The sequence below is a fragment of the Homo sapiens genome, chromosome 4 (assembly GCF_000001405.40).
Source record: "Homo sapiens chromosome 4, GRCh38.p14 Primary Assembly".
Classification (NCBI taxonomy): domain Eukaryota; kingdom Metazoa; phylum Chordata; class Mammalia; order Primates; family Hominidae; genus Homo; species Homo sapiens.
The window spans coordinates 114,839,203-114,861,590 of NC_000004.12; the positions used below are offsets into that span (position 1 = coordinate 114,839,203).

The following is a 22,388-nucleotide window of genomic DNA, read 5'->3' on the forward strand; positions in this document are numbered from 1 at the left end:
CATTGTCTCTGATTATAAATCACTGTCTCTGGCAATGTTAATTCCCATTTTCTGCTTGTCAGTGCAATACAATCATGATAAGCAGAAGAAAGTAATTTCAGGACATTATAATAAAATATAAAATTTCAGGACATTATAATAAAATAAACAGAAGAAAGTAATTTCAGGACATTACCTGAGAAGTAGCAAAGTAAGTTAGCCATCTTTCTATGTGGACTGCATACCATCCAGGTACTAGGCATCTTCTCTGCAAAGTTTTTAAGTCAGATGGAGCCCAATGTCCTGTTGAAATAACTTCATAGAAATTGAACCTCAGAGCAGCTGGATCTTCATGTGATCGTTGGTGCTTTAACAAGAAAGTCAATTGTAAAGTTAGATTTTTTTTAATGCCTGTGTAGATATGCATATGTGTATGGGTGAGCACATGCATGTGTGTGTTTGGTGTGTATGTATAAATGTGTGTGTCCTTTATGTCACAAAATAATAACAAATCAAATACTTAATTTTAGAATGAAAATAAACTAATGAAATGAAATAGAATGACAACCGTATACATTGGAATACCCATTGGCACACTGCTTATTTTAAAGTAAATTAAAGTACAAGCCTTCACTATATATCAAGTGGTATACACATAAACTTGTAGTTATATTTATGTCTAAAGTGGTTAGGTGCAAGGCAGAGGTAGGATGTGAGGATTTTCTTCATGGATATTATTAAGACTGAGATGATGTCAGAGACCAGACAAATCAACCCTAATGAAAAATTTAGATTTTGCAAGAATAATCTTTTTAAGAGTAGTCTTACATGTTTCTTGGGCCACTGTTCCATTACTGCCACTCCTTCAGATTCTGACATTTCCCCAATATCCCTGTGTATCAGGTGCTATGGGTACAGAGAAAGCTGCTGTCTATTTCTCATGCTTGTTTAGATGTCATATTCATATTACATCACCCAAGGTCCTTTCTGTTTGAAAGGGTTTCTATCTAAACCTGCTAATTCACGAATACTGCTTCACTTCTACTTTTCAGTATCAAATCCTGAGTCACACCAAACTATCATTGGTCAAACAGGAAAGGGCCCAGCTCAGTGAGAGATAAATTTAACAGTCAATACAATTTAACAAGCATTATTTAAGCTTCTTTCCAGAACAAAGATCTGAGATAGATCCTGGAGATGAAAAGATATAAGACATAACCACTCTCTTCAAAGAAATCAGATCTAGTGTGGGAGACAATAGATTGGAATAAAGTTGTATATTTGACATATTTGATTAGAGGTAGAAGTTACTTGCTGTGACAGCCAGATCAGTAAGGGATTAATTCTGACTGCAGCATGAAAGGACTTTTCAACGGTTGAAGCTTTCAAGCTAAAATGTAAGGAGAAAGATTGTGATAATCAGAAAAACAAAACCACCAAACACATATGAAAACTAAGAGGACTTCGTCATCTAAGGTAAGTTTGAGCTAAGATAGATGAGGTATGCGGGAATAAGTGTTGTGAAACTTCTAAAAGTGAATTTGAAGAAATTCTAGTGTAGGGTAAATGTGGAAGTATACTGGTCCGTGCTATGACTGTGTAATGGCTGGCCTTATGTGTGAGTGATGGATCTTATGTGTGAGTTAGAAATAAAAATAACTAGAAAAGTAAAGATGATTAGGAATTGATGAGTGGTTAAAGAATAATTAGTAAGTGGCATACACTTTTGAAGTTCTCTTGTTGTTGTATATTTATTGATATTTTTACATGTGTATACCTTATGCTGAGTATATAGATTATATAACTCATTTAATTAGTAAAATGTGTAGAAATTATATAATTTCAATGAAGAATAAGAAACACACTACATACATATTTAATACAGTAATGCTAAAATGTCTACCTTAAGCAGTGATAATATGAAACTGTGCTTAATCTGTTCTATGTTGACTTTTACCAGTTTAGCACCAACTTTTCTTTATATTCCTGCAACTAAGTAGATTAGCATAAAAATATGACCATGAAGTCACAAAAGGACATATTTTATGGAAAAACAGCACTATAGCTCCTCTGCGAGGTCCGTTATAAAAATGTGGGGTAGAAATTACAGCGGCAGGTGACATTTGTAGGAGTTTCTGAATTATGCCTGCTGAGCTTTGGATTTATGGTATTTACTGAATAGACAGGACTAGCTAAGTAATAGGCTACATTATTTTGAAATGTGGAGCAGTGTGGGGCCCTGCTCACTGCAATACAGCAATAAAAAGTATTATCAGAAAAAATAATTCCTTTCAAACCTGTATGTATGTTCAAAGAATTTATTTGAAAAAGCAAGCGCAGAGAGGCACACACATCATAAAGATTCTCTTTTATTGAACTGGTTTAATCTATGTGGAAAAAAAAGATTCACTTAAATCTGCTCTAGATAGTGACCATGCTTTCTGCTAGGGAAATGTTTAACATTTTCCTCAATTGCTTAAATTTATAACTTTAAGGCTTCATGCTTTAATGCTTTTGGTATACTGAAAAAATAAGTTTATCTTGCTTTGCAATGAGTGTTCACAAACTGAGAAAGACATAATTCTTGTACCTTGTGGGAAATACTGACTCGTGTATTAGATAAATTCTGATGGTAGTTTATAAATTTTGCTTCCAATCTAAGTGTTTTTTTTGGATCCCAACTACTCGACCTCCAGTTTGCAATGTCACATTTTTCTATACATCAGTATTTGTTTTCAGTAATACATTTTTTATTAAATAAATTTTGAAAAATCAAGAAAAAGAAGCAAAAAAATGAAATTACTTGTTATCCTACTCCACCCTTCAAAAATTCCCTTTTAGTCTTCTTTACTTTGGTATTAATTTGTATATGCACTAAATTCGTACATACACAAAATGCACTCACATCGTTGGGATTTTGGTATATATACACTGTTACCATCATAACTTCAAGATTACCAACTTGTATTAGGCCATCATTGCTGTAGGCGAATTTACATTTTTGTTGTCAGCTTTATTGCGCCACTGTATAATGATTTCACATCCTCTTTTTTTCCTCTTCTCAAACTGCTGTGTCTTCAAACTATCACCCTCTTTTCATCAGATTAACTCATTCCAGGCTTCTCAAAGGAAGGAGAGACCATCACAGTCACTTCAATTTTTCCATCTCAGGTCTTTGGATTTACCAGTGTCTACATTCATCCCCTCTTCTATCCCTTAAGCTTCAACCCAGGGATTCTCAAACATAGGCCTGTTGATAGAATACAGTGTGTCTACGAACTCGGATCAGCAAAAGAAAAAAAAGAAAAACGACAAAAATACTTTTTGTGGCAGGGCGCGGTGGCTCACGCCTGTAATCCCAGCACTTTGGGAGGCCGAGGCAGGCGGATCACGAGTTCAGGAGATTGGGGAAAACACGATGAAAACCAGTCTCTACTAAAAAAAAAAAAAAAAAAAAAAAAAAAAAAAAATTAGCCAGGCATGGTGGCACGCACCTGTAGTCCCAGCTACTCAGGAGGCTGAGGCAGGAGAATGGCATGAACCTGGGAGGTGAAGGTTGCAGTGAGCCGAGATCACGCCATTGCACTCCAACCTGGGCGACAGAGTGAGACTCCATTAAAAAAAAACAAAAAAGCAACAACAACAAAAAACTTTGTTTTCAGTAATTACTGAATGGAATGTATGTAGACAACAGCCACAGTATTTATTGTACTGTGATTGTGATTTTACCACCAATAAAAATCAGTTATTTTATATCCCATTACCAGTGTCTTAGATATATCAAAATGTTGCTTATGGTCACTATTTCAAAGTTATTATAGTACTAGACTCATCATTATCATATGATGTAGTACTAGACTCATCAAATCATATATCATATATCATATGATATAGTACTAGACTCATCAAATTATCATATGATGATTTAATTAAAAAGTTTGTTACTGATTGAAAAAGTATTTCACATTAACATAGCAGTTTCTTTTGTATACATATTTCGTTTTAGGCTTTTAAAATATATTTTTGAAACACTTACAGGAACCACCAGACAGCTAGAAGAATCTCAACACAAGAAAAGTTAAGAACTCAGAATGCAGGCAGGGTTGCCCCTGGTCCCACCATCTAAGCCATTTCCTATAGCCATTCTTTCCTGTATCTCCGCGGAGTTGGTTACCTATTTTCTCTTCTGGGCCTTTAACCTCTCTTTTTCTTTGGAAATGACTTATCAAATCAACACTACTACAGATCATGTTTTCTCAGTTCTACTTCTACTTCTATGTAATAAACCAGTGTCCTGTTTTACCCCTTCAAAATCACACTTTTGGAGTCTTTCGCAAGTGCTGCCTCTATTTCTTCACCCCTAATTACTTCTTTTTTCACCAAAATCCATCTGGCTTTGCTCTTTTTTACTGTCTTGCTAAGGGCTCCACTTCCCTCCACATCTTTCGCTTTGCCTAATGGTTTGATTTTTTAGCAGCTTTTGGAATTGTTGTCACGCCTCCATCTGGCAGCACTCCCTTCCCTTCGAATCAGTGCCACTGCACTCCTGAATTTTTTTCTTCTATTTTGGCTATATTTTCTTGTCTTTCTTGGCGCCTCATCCCGCTCTGCACTTTTCATCTCTAAACTCTTTCCTTAGGTGATTTCACCATTTACATGGCCATGGCTTCATACCTCTGATTCACAAATATCTAGCTCAGACTTCTCCCAGAGTGTCAGCTGACTTCACTGTTCTTTTGATAATGAAGGGTTTCATTCATCATGATCATAATCCACACTTTTTTTAGTCCCCACCTCCCACCCCACCCCAACCCTCCTGTATACTGCAGCGATTCTTTTTTCATGGGAATGTGTGGCCATCATCTAGGGCCCACATTGGAAATTTGTTTCATCCTTGACACTATGTTCTCACCAAATTCTGTTGATTTTAATGTCTAAATATCTCTGAATACTTATTCTTCATTCAGTTTCTACTTACCATTTTTGTCTACACCATTTCCATACCTCACTAAGTCTATTGCAATAGCTTCAAGTGTGATTTCTCCAAAGAGTCATTTGTCCTATTCCAGTTTCTTCAAATAGCAGATAATGTGATGTATTGTAAAAGAAAATCTGGTAGTCACACACTGGCTACTGTTTTTCAAAGGCTTTCAGTTGCTCAACAAATGGCAGCAGCCAGATGGTTCTAGCCCTAGTGTGCCTCTCAGCTGCAACTCCTATAGGTCTCTACCTAGGATTTTCCCACTAGCCACGCGGAATTTCTTCTAGCTCTTTAAATGTGCCATGATTCTTTATATCCAATGCGTTTAACATATACTGTATCCTCTACTCCACCTTTCTTCTATTCTCACTCAGGGAATATCTACTTGTCCTTCAGTTTTAGGTCTTAATTTATTTTCTTACACAATGCTTTCAGAGAACCTTTACATACTTCCTCACAGTACATTCACAATGTTTAATTACATATCACTATGATTATTTAATATCTACACATTAGACAAACAACTTTTAATTACTATTTTATTAATTAAAACCACAGTTAAATGTTGCTGCAGAATATTCCATTTTAGTATGACACAAATCTATGTCAATGAACACTTTCCTCTTGTTATTATTTTTGTAGATAGTGCTGCAATGCTCCTAAACATTTGTCCATCCTTTTGAAGTTTCCCTTATGATCAATTACAGAAGGGGAATCACATCACTAAAAGATCTTTACATCCTTTTTTGTAATTATTGCCAAATGAGTTTTCAGAAAATATCTTAAGTGTACCTTCTATTGGAACACTTGAGAACCTTTGTAATCACTTTCTTGCCAGCAGAGAAAAACATCATAATTGTTGTCAAGATACTAAAAAAAAGAATGGGCTGGGCTTGGTGGCTCATGCTTGTAGTCCCAAAATTTTGGGAGGCTGAGGTTGGTGGATTGCTCGAGCCCGGGAGTTCAAGACCAGCCTGGGCAACATGGTGAAACCCCATCTCTACAAAAAATATAAAACAAATAGGCGGGTGTGGTGGTGTGTGCCTGTAGTCTCAGCTACTTGGGAGGCTGAGGCAGGAGGATAACTTCAGCCCAGGAGGGAGAGGCTGCAGTGAGCTATGATCACGCCACTGCACGCCAGCCTGGGTAATAGAGTGAGACCTGGTCTCCAATTGGGTTGATTATTTTCACATAAGTTGTTGGACTGTTGTTTTTGTGTGTGCGATTGTTTAGCTGTGCCTTTTCTTCACTTTGCTCATTTTTCTACTGCGATATTTTACTTATTTATTAACTTGGACGAAACTTTTATAAAATAAAGCTCTATGCCATTCACCATGTATTGTCACTCTAGAAACTGACTTTTAAATTTGTTAATTTTTGATAAATCAACATTCTACATGTTTATATAGCTTAGGAAATCTATTAATTCTTTGGTGATGTGTGAGTTTTTAAATAATTATTTTATGCCTGAAAGTCCTTGCCCAACTTGGTACGAGTTAAATATACAGCTCATATTTCTCATATTTTTTGGTGGGGGTTGTGGGTTTAGATATTCTTACATTTGACTTTTCATATGTTTAGGTTCTATTCTGGTTATTTTTCATTGCCTCCATTTAAGCTATAACAAAATGCTTTTAGCCGATTTTTTTACTGACCATACCTGGTACCAAGAGTATGCCCTGTCTGAGGGGTCAATGAGGATGGTGATGATCTTGGCTTTGGGGACAAGAGATGCGGCTCGTCTTGGAGCTTCTTCCGAATGGAAGTAATTAGCACTCTTTTCAAACAGAAAGTCACTTGTAGTATTGGATGGTGTAGGGAAAAAGTCCATATACCTGAAGGCAGAGAAAGACAATTAATTAATCTGAAAATAATTTTTCTTGCCATATTCTGAATGTGAAATAATTGGAACATTTTAATATTCATTTATAGCTATTTCTGATTATTATGCTGTTATAGTTTAAATAATAGATATTCTATACACATTGAATGTGAAGTCAACCCAAAATATTCCTCTTCTAATGACCCATTTTGGGCATGGGAAGGAGTGAGGTGAAATAGGTAGGCCAATAAGGGTCAAAGGAAAAGTACTATACATTTGGGCTGATGTTCTGTGCTATAAAACTCCAATTCCAGAAATACTATTTGCCTGTGGCAAATAGCAAATTACACTATATTGTTTAGTTGATATTAAAAAATAGTAAATTTATGTTTGCAAATTTGAATGCAGAAATTATTCGGTGAGATTAAAGTTCACAAGACAGAAAAATGTGTGAGTCTGAATAGCTATAAAACACCAACAATTTTAGGGCATGGCGGTTCTCTTCCTTCTTAATTTCTTCGTAATTTGTAGTATACGTAGCGATGTGAACACTTTATAGTCTATCTAGAGTAATTAAGGGGATATTTCCTGCCAGTTGATCCTGTGGTGCCTCAGTAGGTTCCCTCCTCCATATGCTGTCAAAACGTTCCTCTGCGTGTGGATTATGGAATCAATATGTTCTGAGGTTAATTCAGTGCAAGTCTTTAATTATGTGTGTAACCCTCCTTACAGCTCATCACTTCTCTCACCCTCAAATGTTCTAGAAATAAATAATAAGAGCAATTAAGAATTCATATAAGACACTTATTTCCCTCTTTGACATTTGTTATTATGTTTCCCAAAAGCGGAGTGGTGAAGAGTCTCATCTATATTCCTGCTAAACAATTTGTGTTCCATTTGGGCTCACAGATCAGAGAAAATTGCCGTTCTGCTTTTAATAACCTGCATGCAATTCCAAAGGTTATTTAGCCTTTTAAAAGTAAGGTAGGATATAATGTCCCAGATGCAGAGTCGACACATCTCCAACAACAATGGGAACCTTGATCTGCTCGCCGGTGTTGCACCTGCCCAACCCTGATCCTAGCTGTACCTTAAAAAAATGTGTCTTTCGGCCGGGCGCGGTGGCTCACGCCTGTAATCCCAGCACTTTGGGAGGCCGAGGCGGGCGGATCACGAGGTCAGGAGATCGAGACCATCCCGGCTAAAACGGTGAAACCCCGTCTCTACTGAAAATACAAAAAATTAGCCGGGCGTAGTGGCGGGCGCCTGTAGTCCCAGCTACTTGGGAGGCTGAGGCAGGAGAATGGCGTGAACCCGGGAGGCGGAGCTTGCAGTGAGCCGAGATCCCGCCACTGCACTCCAGCCTGGGCGACAGAGCGAGACTCCGTCTCAAAAAAAAAAAAAAAAAAAAAAAAAAAAAAAAAAAAAAAAAGTGTCTTTCATTGCAAACAGGTTCATGCATGATGATGACACACAAACTTACATGCTGCAGATGTGTGCATTGAGGGGAATTTTCCTCAGGTGAGATTTGCTTTATATACCTGTGAACTAGAAATTAAATTCAGGACCATGTTTTCTTGAAAAATTGGAATAGAGCTAGAAAAAATCACCAGAGTGAAAATCATTTCCAGTATCAGGTTTATTCTATTTTAGTTTAGGGGAAATACTGTGATTTTATTTTTTTCATAATTTATCATGTGTTACTTAATATTTATTTTATGTACGTGTGTGACTAGAATTGATATGGTTTTGAAAATGTCCTGTTATTATTTGCATGACAAATATCAGCCTACATTATAACAAAACTTACAGTTTATGTGGTTAATGAAGATACATGTCACGAATTATAAAATAAACTACTGATTTATTTGTTGCCTGAAACATTGTTGCGAAGACAAATTATGTGTTGAGAAAAAAATTAGGCACAGTTAAATAATGCTACGCTTAAAGAGAATTTTAAATACCCTTATGAATAATTCTGATGAAATATATCCCATAATGTTTTTTATTCAATCATATTAATTTAGCAGAAAAATATTATCATTATTGCACTGTCCAAATCACATTATAGGCAACACTGATTAAACATATCATCATTATAAATTAATTTCTAATTCACTGTGGTGAATTTATCCTGTAATTATGCAGATGCCACACATACATCTGTAATTGCTCTGCAGTGATTGAGCATGTGTTAATAATGGAATTTATTTTTTGTTATTTTTCTTACCAGTCTATTCCTTTGTGATAGTTGTTGCCATTAAAGAACTGAACTTCCTCAAATGTCTTTGGACTAGGGAGATTGCTGATGATTGAAGGATGCATAAGAAGAAATAAATAAAGTGCAGTTGTTCCTGTTACAAAAAAAGAAAGTAAAAGGTTATATGGCAATAAGAGACAAAATATTATTTTAGCATATTTTTGCTCAAAAAGTAATATTAAAATAATCAACTATTTCCAGTATCAAAGTGATTTCCTTAAAATCAACTAGATGCATTCCATGCAGCCACAATCTAAGTGTTCTATTTTTAGTCTTCATGATTCTATTGATCAGAATGCCTGATTTAATATTAGCACATGGCCAAAGTAAAGCAGACTGATGATGCAGCTAGTGTGGCACTGCGGAAGTCATGCAGCTCAACTTTCCTCCAGGAGTCAGGTGAGTGGCTAAAGCATGAAGGGCAAGGGTCCTTCTGGCTCCATCTTTATCATTAGGCATGGTATCTTACCTGGTGGGTCTTCAATTAGCATTGAAATTCAGATGAATGAAATCAAACTATTTAACAGAGGTTGATGTGCTACTCTGTGTATGGTCCGGAAGTAACTCTTGATTAAGAAAACACATTTGCTGCCCTCAATGAACTTAAAGTCCCTGTGTGGACTTGGACAAGTACACAAGTAATTGTGATGTTGTGGGACAGGTGCCATAATGAGAGAAGACCAGAGCACCTTTCCAATATATGAGAAAATGGGTGATTTAGACTTGGGAAATCAGTGACAGATTCTAGGAGGAAGTGTATTCTAATACTTTTCCTTAAAAACATAAGTGTTACACAGCAAGGTTGAAAGAAGAAGGCAGGACTCTTGAAAGATGGCTGCTTCAATGACTTCTCTGGCAAAATATGACAAGTCTGATAATTGGAGCACTAGATAGAGCAGACTGGCTGATAGAAACCACCTGTGTGCACATTGCAGAGGTCTCAAATGTAATCTCTGAACCTTATTTCCCTCAGAGCCAGGCCGGAGACTGGCAGCTAGCTATAGCAGAAAGAACTCATGAACTGACTGGGTCATCATAACTCTCATAAATCAAGACTTTTCTTCTGGAAAAGGTAAACTGTTCTGTGATACATTGGAGTGAGCAGCAGTTGTTAGATTTCCTAGCCCTAGCAGAGCTGCAGACAAGCTACATAGGTGGGCTGGCAGAACAACTATCATTGCAAATGGGATCTGGAAGTAGACAAGGCCAGCAGATAATTGGCATTTTGTTCACATATACCTTAAGCTCATATGAGCAAAGGCTACTGCACTTTGAGTATTAATGAGATTGCCGCCCTTTTAGATCCTCCCAGCTTTACATGGCCACCAAGAGGTAATGAGTAGCTAAAGGGAAGAACGTAACAACAGATCCATGGGGACCAACCACCTTGATGGAAGACATGTTAAAACACCTAGAATGAAACACTGTGTGCGAAATAAGATGGCAAAATTAATAAATGCCCTAGGGATATGTAATTACTAATTTAAAAAGATTTAAGGAATAACAAATGTGAAATCGAATTATACAAACTTGATTAAAAGAATGAAGGAGACAGAACTGGTTAAGAACTAAATTAGAGTCTTAAAGTTTAGACAGGAGAAATCTCTCAACCACACTGAAAAATACAGATGTAATAGTTATGAGGGACGAGGGGCATCCTCAAGAGCTTATATGGTTTACTCCTAAATATAACAGGAGTTTAAAAACGAGAAAATGTGAGAAGAGCAAAAACAAAAAATGTTCTAGGGAAATGAATTAGCAATAGAGTAGAAACTGGAAGGAAACATGAAATCTAGAAGTTTTTTTTAAAAATACTTTTTAAGATAACACTTTCTTAAGGGGGGTGGAGAGAAAGATAGATTTGAGACACACAAAACACAAATGAGAAAATTGATAGTTTAATATTCCTAAGGTATTGAAGGTAGATGCATGCAGGGCACAGATAAAAATATTCTTTAGTTGTTGATTATCTAAATATAGACACTTTATAGCCTCACTCAGTAATAAGTAGAAATGTTTAATTACCCTGTTGGTCACATAATCGTACCCCGATCTCCCCTGGCCTACAGAAAGCCAAAGCCTTTATGTTCTGCACACATACCTTCATGCCTCCAGGACCTTAAGGGACATCAAGAGGCATCTGATAGGGAGGAGAGAGCAAGCACTCTCAACTAGAAACAGAAAAAATGTGGCTTGATATTCATGTAATCAGCCATAAAATCTGGGCCCATTACCTCAAAATGCACATTTTAAAAATTATCACCTAAATTTTTCATCTATCCTTGACATTAATTTTCTATCAATTTCTTTTACCTCATTTCCTTTTATATCAACTTCTTTAATATAAATATTTCATGGAAGAAGAGGAAAAAATCCTATACTAATAGAAACTATTCTATTTTATATACAATCAACTCCTCCTTAGTTTTAATGTACGGGGGTAAGCCAGGCAAATCATGAGACATTAATATTGACAGTGTGAACACTGATCTTCTGAAAGATCTAAGGCCAATGAGTTATGCTCTTATAATTGTTGTGCTAAATGTAACCCTATGAGAATCCTCTTTTTACATTGACAATACCAGAATTTGACTCTGAATGATGAAGGATGAATATCTGTTCAAAGGCTCACAAGGGACTATGATTTGAACTTTGAGTCCCTTAAGTCTAAGGTCTCTAAGTCTATGTCCATCATCTCTGCCTATTTCTCTTCTCCCCTTCCTCATTCCCTGACCGACTTTCAGCCCACAGGAATCTCTTCTGGGATTCAGCAATGGCAAAGTGAAATATCACGTCTTTCCATTCTCACCTCACAAAAACTGAGCAAATAGGAGTTTGGGAACCACTTTTGTACCTCATGCTTCTTGTAAGAGATGCATGCACCACATTTAAGTCACTGAAAGACAAGTTTGCATTTAAGGGAAGATTGGCAGCACGTATTTGTGACCCCCCTGCAGTGAATTTATAGTCTCTGACAGCACTGGGTGTTTTGCCAACTGAAGCAATAAGAAGAACAAACTATGACTTCAGACTTCTACAATTGGATTTTAAGAATTACTACAACCGTTTTTATATTAGAAGAATATTTTCATAGCCTATGAAATATTATTACCATCTGATTCCTTTGTTTTAACATCTTATTTGTTTGTTTGTCTTAGGAAAGCCAAAACCAGCTAAATGCTTTATCATTTCCATACTGGTAGGTCAAATATGAAAATCTAAACGTATAGCTTAATGTCTTTATGAATGCAAACAACAAGAAAGAAAAATAGATTTATAGTTACTAAGCTGTAATTTTTTCACAGAACTAAAACATAATAATATTCAATGACAAATGATAGGGGATACATCTTTCTATTAGATTTTTAACACAATTTTACAACACAGGAGTGTTTTATTTCTTTAGTAGTCACTCCAGAGTTAGCAATGCTGTAAGGGAGTTGGTAGAAAATTAATGTACATTTTAAACAACAACAAAAGTGATCTATCTGAAAATATGTGTTGCTCTTTCCCCTCCCTGCACATGTGTTAACTTACTGTTGTAATACAATTTATATTCCTAGAGAAAGAAAAGATTTCAACAACCAATATTTAATAGTCTGGAAATTTTGCCCACAACTTTTAAAATGACCTACTTACTTGTATTACAAATACCTTCATCTGGGCCAGGCTTATTTATTGAGACTGTTTGTTTTCTGTTATGGTTTGTGCACTCACTGATGAAAATGCTTCTAGTCAAAGTAGTGAATTCAAAATACAGCAACTCAATAAAACTTTAATTAATCAGGACATGAGCAAAGTGTATAAAACTGTCACATACTGAAGAAAGTATAAAATATTCTAATTGAAAGTGTCATCTCATTGGTGAAATGCTTTCACTCTCTTTTACTGCATTCTTATACAGTTGTCCTTCAGTGCATGAGAGAATACCAAGGAAAAAATACCTGATGAACTTCAAGTGTTTCAGAAAGTAAGTCCATATCATGCTAATACCTAATGATTAATTTTTTAAAAGGAATCACATATGTAAAATATTTGAAAGTAATCATGGCAGTGACTGAATAAAAATCAATTCAAAGGCTGATATACCAGATAAAATAGTTTGAATCGGGCCAAAACATGTTTTTATAAATTGCTTTAGAAATTAATTAAATAAAGCCAAAAAAGTAAAAATTAAAGATGAGGTACAACAACTGAGACACATAAGTTCAAAGTTGTCCAAATTTGGCATGTATGTTGAACAGTTTTAAAGTTCATAAAGAATTTAGTGTTTAAGGCTACTTAGTGGGAAACTTTAAGATCCTCTTGAGGTTCATGGTATAAATGCGAATCATGGAGATGACAAGCAGTTCAAATAATAAACTTGCATGGATAGCTAAATATTTCACAAAGAAAAATCTAATCTGATAAATCCATATACCAATGTATTTCATAAAATATTTTTAAAAAGGATATAAGTAGCACAATTGGCTATTTTTACCTGTTTTTTGTGGACCAATTACTAGAAATTTTGGTAAGTGGTCACAAGTTTTCTCTCTGGACCAGATGTCTTTGTGTCGTTTATCATCACATGGATTCTGCAAGAAGGAAGAATAAGTAACCTCACAGTGTAATGACTGTCTGGCTCTGTTCTCTAAAAATTGTTCAAAAGATGGAATCAAATTCTGGCCTAATACCTTAGAACTTGGAGTTAGACCTCACTCTCGTTCTCTGGTTTCCAAATCTTTTTTAAATAAAGTTATTGACACCTTCCTTATCTCAAGGCTGGGACTCAGCATCAAGTCCTTCCTGTTGTTATCATCTTTCAGTGTTTGGCAAGGCTCTAATCCCTGTGATACTACTCTATTTCTTGGTTTATGTTTTATGTCTATATATCAGAGGACTTGACTTAACCTGGTTTCATCATAGTTACTCATATTACTGTGTTCTCCCTAATCATTCCTATTTTTTCTCCCTAGAGGCTGGAATGCTATCCTTGAATTCCAGACTTGGCCAACTTTTCCTTTTCATTTCATTTCATGTTTTGATTCAAATATTCCCATGGTTTGGCCACATCTTATAAGCTGATAGCTTCTAGATCAGTATCCAGCCTCTACCTCCCTCCTGAGCTCTAGACTTAAGGTTTTATATTGCAAATATATCATTTTTGTATAGATACGGTGAGGAAATTTCAGACTCAACATACCCAATGTATCCATTGGTCCAATATTATGCCCATCTAACCTACACTTCCAGTGCCAGTTTTTATTTCATTCTATCTGGCTGACTCTAATTTATTACCAAAATCATTACACTTTTGAGAATTAAAAGGGCTTTTAAAATTAAAAGGATAAAATTTTTGAAATATTTATTGACTGCCATGTTGGTTTTATTATATTGGTGACCTACACAATAATTATATTCAAGATGATTGTCACAAGTAAAAGTATTTTTAAAAAACATATACCTTGGAAATTAAAACATTCTATTTTTATATTTATTATCCCAATATTAACAATGAAACAAGAAGGAAAAACATTTATGGTTCATATTTCTGTACTTTAATCAGTTCCTTTTTCACTTAATTTTTAATTTTTTAATTTTTAATTTTATGGCTACATAGTGGGTATATACATTTTTGAAATACATCAGATATTTTGATACAGGCATACAATACATAATAATCACATCAGGGTAAATGGGGTATCCATTACTTCAAGCATTTATCATTTCTTGTAGTACAAGTGTTCTAATTTTATGCTTTTGTTATTTTAAATGTAAAATAAATTATTGTTGACTGTAGTCACCTTGTTGTGCTGTTAAATACTAGATTTTATTCATTCGATCTAACTATATTTTTGCACCCATTAACGATCCCCATTCCTACCACCTCCACTTTGCTTCCCAGCCCCTGGTACCCATCATTGTATCATTATATGCTCTATCTCCATGAGTTCAATTGTTTTAATTTTAAGTTCTCACAAATGCATGAGAACATGTGAAGTTTGCCTTTTTGTGCCTGGCTTATTTCACTTAACGTAATATCCTCAGGTTTCATCCATGGTGTTGAAAATGACAAAATCTCATTCTTTTTCATGGCTGAATAGTACTTCATTGTGTATAAGTACCACATTCCCTTCATTCATTTCTCTGTTGATGGATACTTAAGTTGCTTCCAAATCTTGGCTATTGTGAATAGTGCTGAAATAAATGTGGGAGTGCAGGTATCTCTTCAATATACTGATTTCCTTTCTTTTTTTTTGAGACAGAGTTTTGCTCTTGTTGCCCAGGCTGGAGTGCAATGGCACAATCTCGGCTCACCGCAACCTTCGCCTCCCAAATTCAAGCGATTCTCCTGCCCCAGCCTCCCGAGTAGCTGGGACCACAGGCACGTGCCACCACACCCGGCTAATTTTTTGTATTTTTAGTAAAGACGGGGTTTCACTATGTTAGCCAGGATGGTCTCTATCTCCTGACCTCATGATCTGTCCACCTCAGCCTCCCAAAGTGCTGGGATTACAGGCATGAGCCCGACCAATTTCCTTTCTTTTTTAGAATATTTTTAATATTCATGATGTTAGATTGCTGAATCACATGGTAGTTCTATTTTTCGTTTTGTGTGGAAACTCCATATTGTTTTCCATAGTGGTTGTACTAATTTACATTCCCACCAACAGTGTCCAAGTGTTCCCTTTTCTCTACATCTTAACTAGCATTTGTTATTACTTGTCTTTTGGACAAGATATGTCTTAACTGGGGTGAGATGGCATCTCATTGTAGTTTTGATTTGCATTTCTCTGATGATCAATGATGTTGAGAACATTTTCATATAATAATTTGGCATTTGTATATCTTCTTTTGAGAAATGTCTATTCAGATCCTTTGCCCATTTTTAAATCAGATTATTAGTTTTTTTTTTCCTATAGAGTTGTTTGAATCCCTTACATATTCTGGTTAAAAATTCATTCTCAGATGGGTAGTTGCAAATATTTTACTTCAATCTTTGGGTTGTCTCTAAACTTTATTGTTTCCTTTGCTGTGCAGCCTTTTAACTTGATGTGATCCCATTTGCCCATTTTTGCTTTGGCATGGACTTGTGGGGTATTGCTTAAGAAATCTTTGCCCAGACTAAATGTCTTGGGGAGTTTCTCCAATGTTTTATTTTAGTAGTTTTATAGTTTGAGGTCTTAGTTTTAAGTCTTTAATCCATTTTAATTTTATTTTGTGTACGGAGAGAGATAGGGGTCTAGTTTCATTCTTCTGCATGCAGCTATCCAGTTTTTCCAGTACTGGTTACTGAAGAATCTATCTTTTCCCCAGTGTATGTTCTTGACATCTTTGGTGAAAATGAGTTCACTGTAGAGGTATGGGTTTATTTCTGGATTCTCTATTCTGTTTCATTGGTCTATGTGTCTATTTGCATGCCAATACCATGCATTTTGGTTCCTATAGCTCTGTAGTATAATTTGAAGTCAAGTAATGTGATTCTTCCTATTTTGTACTTTTTGCCTAGGATGACTTTGGCTATTCTGGGTCCATTGTGGTTCCATGTTAATTTTAGGATTATTTTTTATATTTCTGTGAAGAATGCCATTGGTGGTATTAATCAATTCTTTAGATACATCTTTCTTTAATACTATGTCACCAAAGTTCTGAAGAATGATCGTTTTTGATATATTATTATGTTTTGCTTTTCTATAAAATTGTCTTCAATCCTTCTCAAATTTGCATTTCATAGTTAATAAATGTGAAAGTGTTGACACTCAAATTACTCTTCTCTGTAAGCCACTGTATTTTTAACTGGAGAGAGAGTTGAGATAAGCCCCTTCCTTTCCTTTCTTTCTTTCTTTTTTTTTTTCAACACAGTCTCGCTCTGTCACCCAGGCTGGAGTGCAGTGGTGCCAACTCGGCTCACTGCAACCTTCTCTTCTCAGATTCAAGTGATTCTCCTACCTCAGCCTCCGGATTATCTGAGACTACAGATGTGCACAACCATGCCCAGTTAATCTTTTATTTCTTTGGTAGAGATGGGGTTTTGCCATGTTGCTCAGGCTGGTCTGGAACTACTGGCCTCAAGTGATTCTCTGGACTTGGGCTCCCAAGGTGCTGGGATTAGCATGAGCCACTGTGCCTGGCCAATAAGCAAATTTTCAGCTCTAATTTTTTTAATATGAAAATGTCTAAATATTAGAGACCAAATATTTTCACAATTATTTTCCATTAAGAATGTTTTTCTTTGACAAATACTTTTAAATATAACACTTGTCAAGTGAGTTTTCTCTAATTATGATTCTTTTAACCATTTTGCCAAATATAGGTGCTGCAAAATCATAGACTTCTCAATATCATTTTATTCTATGACAGAATATAATTTTATCCAATTAAAATAGAAGATCCATTAAGAAATGCTTAGGCCGATTCTTCCCAGTGTTATTATATAGACTAAAGGGACCAGTATCACCCTGGCATTCTGCAGAACCTAACACTGGCTCACTATATTGTTGACATGATATTTGGACCTGACAAATAAGTGGAAATTACTCTGGCTGCCTTAATAAAACACATGCACCTCAGAGGATGGAAGACAAGCATACAAAGTTTTAGGAGCCTGCCACCTTTTAAGCTTTCAGGGGTCTGGACATCTTGAGCACACTGGGACATCCCGTTCATAGCAAAGTGTAAGTTGTACATTGCAACTCCTACTGCTAAGAGGTAGCACAGTGCTAGGAAATATTTCTCTGTGCATTTATTGAGTGATACAGATAGCTTCAAGTTTAGGATGGGGCCTAGAGCAAGAAAGGGGTAGGCAGTAGGTAAGGCTGAAGTACAAGCCACCCTCACACTTGGGCTTTATATGCTGGAAGATTCATGATACTATGGCATCAATGATATAAATGGATGCCTTGTGGAATATCTGGCAAGTACTTGAAAAGAATCACAATGTACACTTTTAAGGTTCTGTAGCAAAGCATACTATCTGAATCATATTACGCAAACCATAGCACTTGTATACTGCTGTATCCAAGAAGAGAGTGCTATGGAAGAGAGTGTTTGTCATTAGTCACTAATGTGATCAAGTGGCCATAACTACCCACCATGAACTGAATAGTGATAGACCCATCAAATCATAAATTCAGGTATGTCCAGCAACAATTCACTGTAAGATGGGAATGGTATATCTGGGATCAGTGTCAGGCTGATCCAGGGGCCACTTACAAATAAGTGGCCCATGATTCTAAGTCACCTGTCACTGTTGCACTGATGCTTCTCCATCAGCTCATTTTTAGTTTTGTGAAGGGTTTCTATAACCTGCTGACAAAGAGGAGAAACCCAGGCTTGGTTTGCAGATGGGCTAACCCATATGTTAGTAGAAGACTAAAATGGACTTTGGTGGCACTACAGTTCCATTCAGAGGGGTTTCTAAAAATCGCTGGTTAATGGAACTCTTTCAGTTGTCAGAGTTGTGGGCAGTGTACCTAGTCATCTGCTTTTTGTTTGCTTTGTGGATAGACTTATAGCCAAAGGTAAGGATATGACAAACTAATCAGCAGAGATGAATAAATGGCATAGGATGGACAGGACAGGCAACTTGAAGGAACAAGCTAGGAAAATTAAGATAGGAAGTTCTAAGAAAGAGGCATGTGGATGGACCTATGATAGTGTCCAAAGTGTGTGATGGTCTTTGTATTATACATTAATGTACACCAGAGAGCATTTTATGTAGAAGAGGCCCTGACAACCAAGAGAGCAGTATGATTCAGCCAGGTTACAACATTCCTACGTGTTGCCTAACCTCTGTTGTCAACTAACCCAGAGCTAATGCAAATGGCTCATGAATAGAGTAACCATGGCAGCACAGGTGAAAGCCATGCATGGACCTCTTTCCCCTATGTCTTCTGTAGTTACTGCCAGTGCTGAATATCTGACCTGACAGTAACAGCAAATACTTTCAAATCTCAGAAATAGCATTATCCTGCCACTTAGTGAAACATTGATTATATTGGACACTGTGATAATGAAAAGGGCATGATTCACCTACATCAGGTTTGACATGTATTCCAAACATTAACTCTCCTTCTCTGCCCACGTAGCCCTGGCTATCACCACTATGAAAGGGCTCACAGAGTATATGGCTCATTGACATGTTATCTTACATACTATTGCTTGGGATAAGGGAAACTTCTTTCTGGTAAAGGAAGCATGGCAGTAGGCATATGGCCCTGAAAGTCACTGGTCCTATTAACATACCCCAGTTTCTACAAGTTGCTCGCCTGAGAGTGATGGAAAGGCCACTTGAAAGATACAGTTGAGGTACCAGCTTGAAGATATAGTGTACGCATTAAATCATAAACTATTAGTTGGTGCAGAGTCCAACAAATAGTTTTTATTTAAGGAATACACTATATCACCAACAGGTGCCTCTACTGTACCCTTTGTCCAAAGAGTTGTGTATTTGAGTCCAGGAGTTGATGTGGGAATGGACCCCCTTACCAGTATTCCCAATGATATGCTTGGAGAATTTGTGCTTTCTTTCCTCATAACTTTAAGGTTGGTGGATCTAGGAATTCTAGCTCCCATAGCAGGGAAGATTCCACCAGGAGACATGGGAAGGGGCTCACCAAACACAAAGCTAAAACTCCTACCTGGTCACTTTGGACTTTTTGTGCCAGTAGATTGGCAGACATGGAAATGAGTTACCATCCTGGTAGGGGTAATTGACCCACATAAACATGAAGAATTAGAACAGCTACTATATAGTGAGAACAGGGAGAAGTATCTTTGGCATTCAAATAGTTCACTAAGTTGCTTGTTGGTACTTCCTTACCCAGTTATAACTGTAAATGGCAAAGTATGGCAACCACTGCCTGATAAGTGCTAGATGGGGGTGCCAGAACAGACTACCATAGTGTACTCCTTAAGTCATCTTTATCTAAACACAGCTTTTCTCCTAAAGAAATTTACAAGAGGAGAGTCAGTGAGACAAACTATCACTGCTGCTACTTCCTCCAGTCCTAAGACTATCTGACCCACCCAGTATTTCTTCTAGGCCAGCAAAAATGCTAGACAAAGGTGGGGGAAATACAGAATAGGAGACAAAATGGGAGAAAATAATCACTGATTTCACCTTTGGGACCAAAAGCAGCAATTGTGTTATAGTTTCTCAAAATAATTCTCCTCTTATAAATTTCCCCAGGCAGGAAGTTTATAGAATCATGAGAAAAAATGTGTCTGGTTGGAGTGAACATAACAAATGAAACTGAGCGTGTACAGAGTAGAGTGTGGTGGAAGCTCTTTTCTCCACTGAATGCATCCTCTTTTCAGACTAGAGCAAACCCTCCACTCCTCTGAACTTTGCCAGCTGCTATTGCCCCCAGCTAGGGGATTGAGAATTCTCCCCGGCTAATAGAAGCCACCTGACCGGAAATCAAACTCTGCATCCCCTCCTCACTCTCAGGGGATAGCCCACCTCCAGTGGATGCAGGGGTACGGAAGACTGACCTGCTTGCCTCAAGGTGAGAAAATTGGCCTGTGACTAGTTCTCTCCCTGCAGATCAGGTAAGGCTAGGCTTTACCAGAGATGACATCCTTGTCAGCTCTTTTCCCGTCTTTTCAGTTTCATAGTTTCCCTTATAGGTTTTTCCTGAAAGCATTTCTTAAATCATTTGCAATGGAATCTCTATCTCACATTCTGCTTCTAGGGAACACTACCTATGGCAATGGCTATTCATATTCATACTCTATAAAATTAAAAGGCACTCTTGACTCAAATACATTTCTATCCCTGCTCTCATTGGAACAAGGCTGAAGTACAATCTAAAGGGATCAGTAATGTATAATGACAACCATATTATGTTAGAATTTACCTTGGAAAAAATTAGGTTACAGATCCTGGATTTTTCTACAAATTCATCTATGGAAACTGTGATAAAAGGAATTAATTAGAAGCCAGTAAACAACATTCCTTATTTAATTCACATAACTGAAATTTTGTTTTAACTGGTATCTCCATTTTCTGCCATCTTTTTATTTAGTATTCCATCTCATATACTCATATGGTGTAGTTTTAGTTCAACTAACCATATTTTTCACTGTGGCAGAGAAGGCTGAACTATCTATTCTTCACTTCTTCAGTCGATAATGGAGCATCCCCTATTTAGCTTATTATGCAGATTCCCAGCTAGAGAGTATATTTCACACTCTTTCTTCAATGTAGCTTTCTTCATATTAATTTCAGTTCAATGGAAAGTGAGACAAAATGATATGAAGTATCCTCAAAAATAAAGCCACACTCCCTGGATTTCTCCTTTCCAACTTACCACCAGCTGTAAAATGGCTAGATTGCAGCATGTAACTTGACCTCAAGTGGAAGCCATATATTGAAGAGCGTATCAGTCTGAGCCCCTAGGTGATCATGTGGCGTGGAACTGTCTGCAGCTCCAAGACTACCTGCTTACTTCTGGACAGTTACATGAGTGAGAAATACATCTTCATTTTATTTAGCCAATGTATTTTTGAATGGCATAATTACAGCAACATCACCTATACTCTAGCTCATTGTGTTTCAAAGTACTTGTCTATGAGAAGATAAGGAGCTTGTGCAAGAATGTGAATCAATGCATTGCTTGTTTCAAAAAGAACATTCTGTTACAAGATAAAAACAAAATTTCAAGGAAAGCAACTGGTATGCTTAGTGATATAGTTGATTTCTACTCTGGCACCAGCTTCTTGTCTCATGGTAAATCAGCAACGAAATAATTCAAACAGGCTATTAATGGACCACACTTTGAGTAGCACTATTCTGAGTTAATAATTGCCAACATCAACTTAATGCTTCAGTTATACTGTATTCACTACTGTAGAAATTCTCATGTTTGTACCCTAATCATTGAATTATTTCTCCATGTGATGCTCATATTTTTCCCCAAAATTTTGCCTACATTTCTAGCTTAAGCTAATATCTACCATAAACCTTCCCTATTTATTTTAGAGGGGTAGCATAGCCCAGTCATTAAGAGCATGAACTCATGAGGGAGACTGCCTGTGCATTAAGCAATTTTCCTAAATTATCTGGACCTCAGTTCCTTATTTATAAAATAGTGGTTGGTAATATTTATCTCATGTGGTTGTTGACAGCATTATATGTTATTTAAAATCATTAAATCATGCTGTATGTAAGAGTATTTATTATTTGATTCCACATTTGCCCTTCTTTTCTTTTTGTCCAGATTAGTTAGGCAAGATTAGTTAGGCAATTGGAGCAAGAGAAAGAGTAAATCTCACTGATGGATTGCTTTACTACAGGTGTTCATCTTGAGAGACTTCTTGGTCCATCATTAGAATGTACCAGCACCATGTGTGACTGTCTG

General features: G+C 36.5%; 1 protein-coding gene across 3 annotated transcripts in view; it reads right to left on the reverse strand.

Annotated features, from left to right (window-relative positions):
- Nucleotides 1-22,388, reverse strand: part of NDST4 (N-deacetylase and N-sulfotransferase 4) — a 285,858-nt gene that overhangs the window by 11,440 nt on the left and 252,030 nt on the right. For all 3 annotated transcript variants that reach the window (XM_017008545.3, NM_022569.3, XM_017008546.2), the window contains 4 exons: nt 13,523-13,619; nt 9,013-9,136; nt 6,621-6,795; nt 176-346 (listed from right to left, as the gene is read on the reverse strand). In XM_017008545.3, the coding sequence (XP_016864034.1) occupies nt 176-346; nt 6,621-6,795; nt 9,013-9,136; nt 13,523-13,619 (567 nt within the window). The remainder of the gene's footprint in view (nt 1-175; nt 347-6,620; nt 6,796-9,012; nt 9,137-13,522; nt 13,620-22,388) is intronic.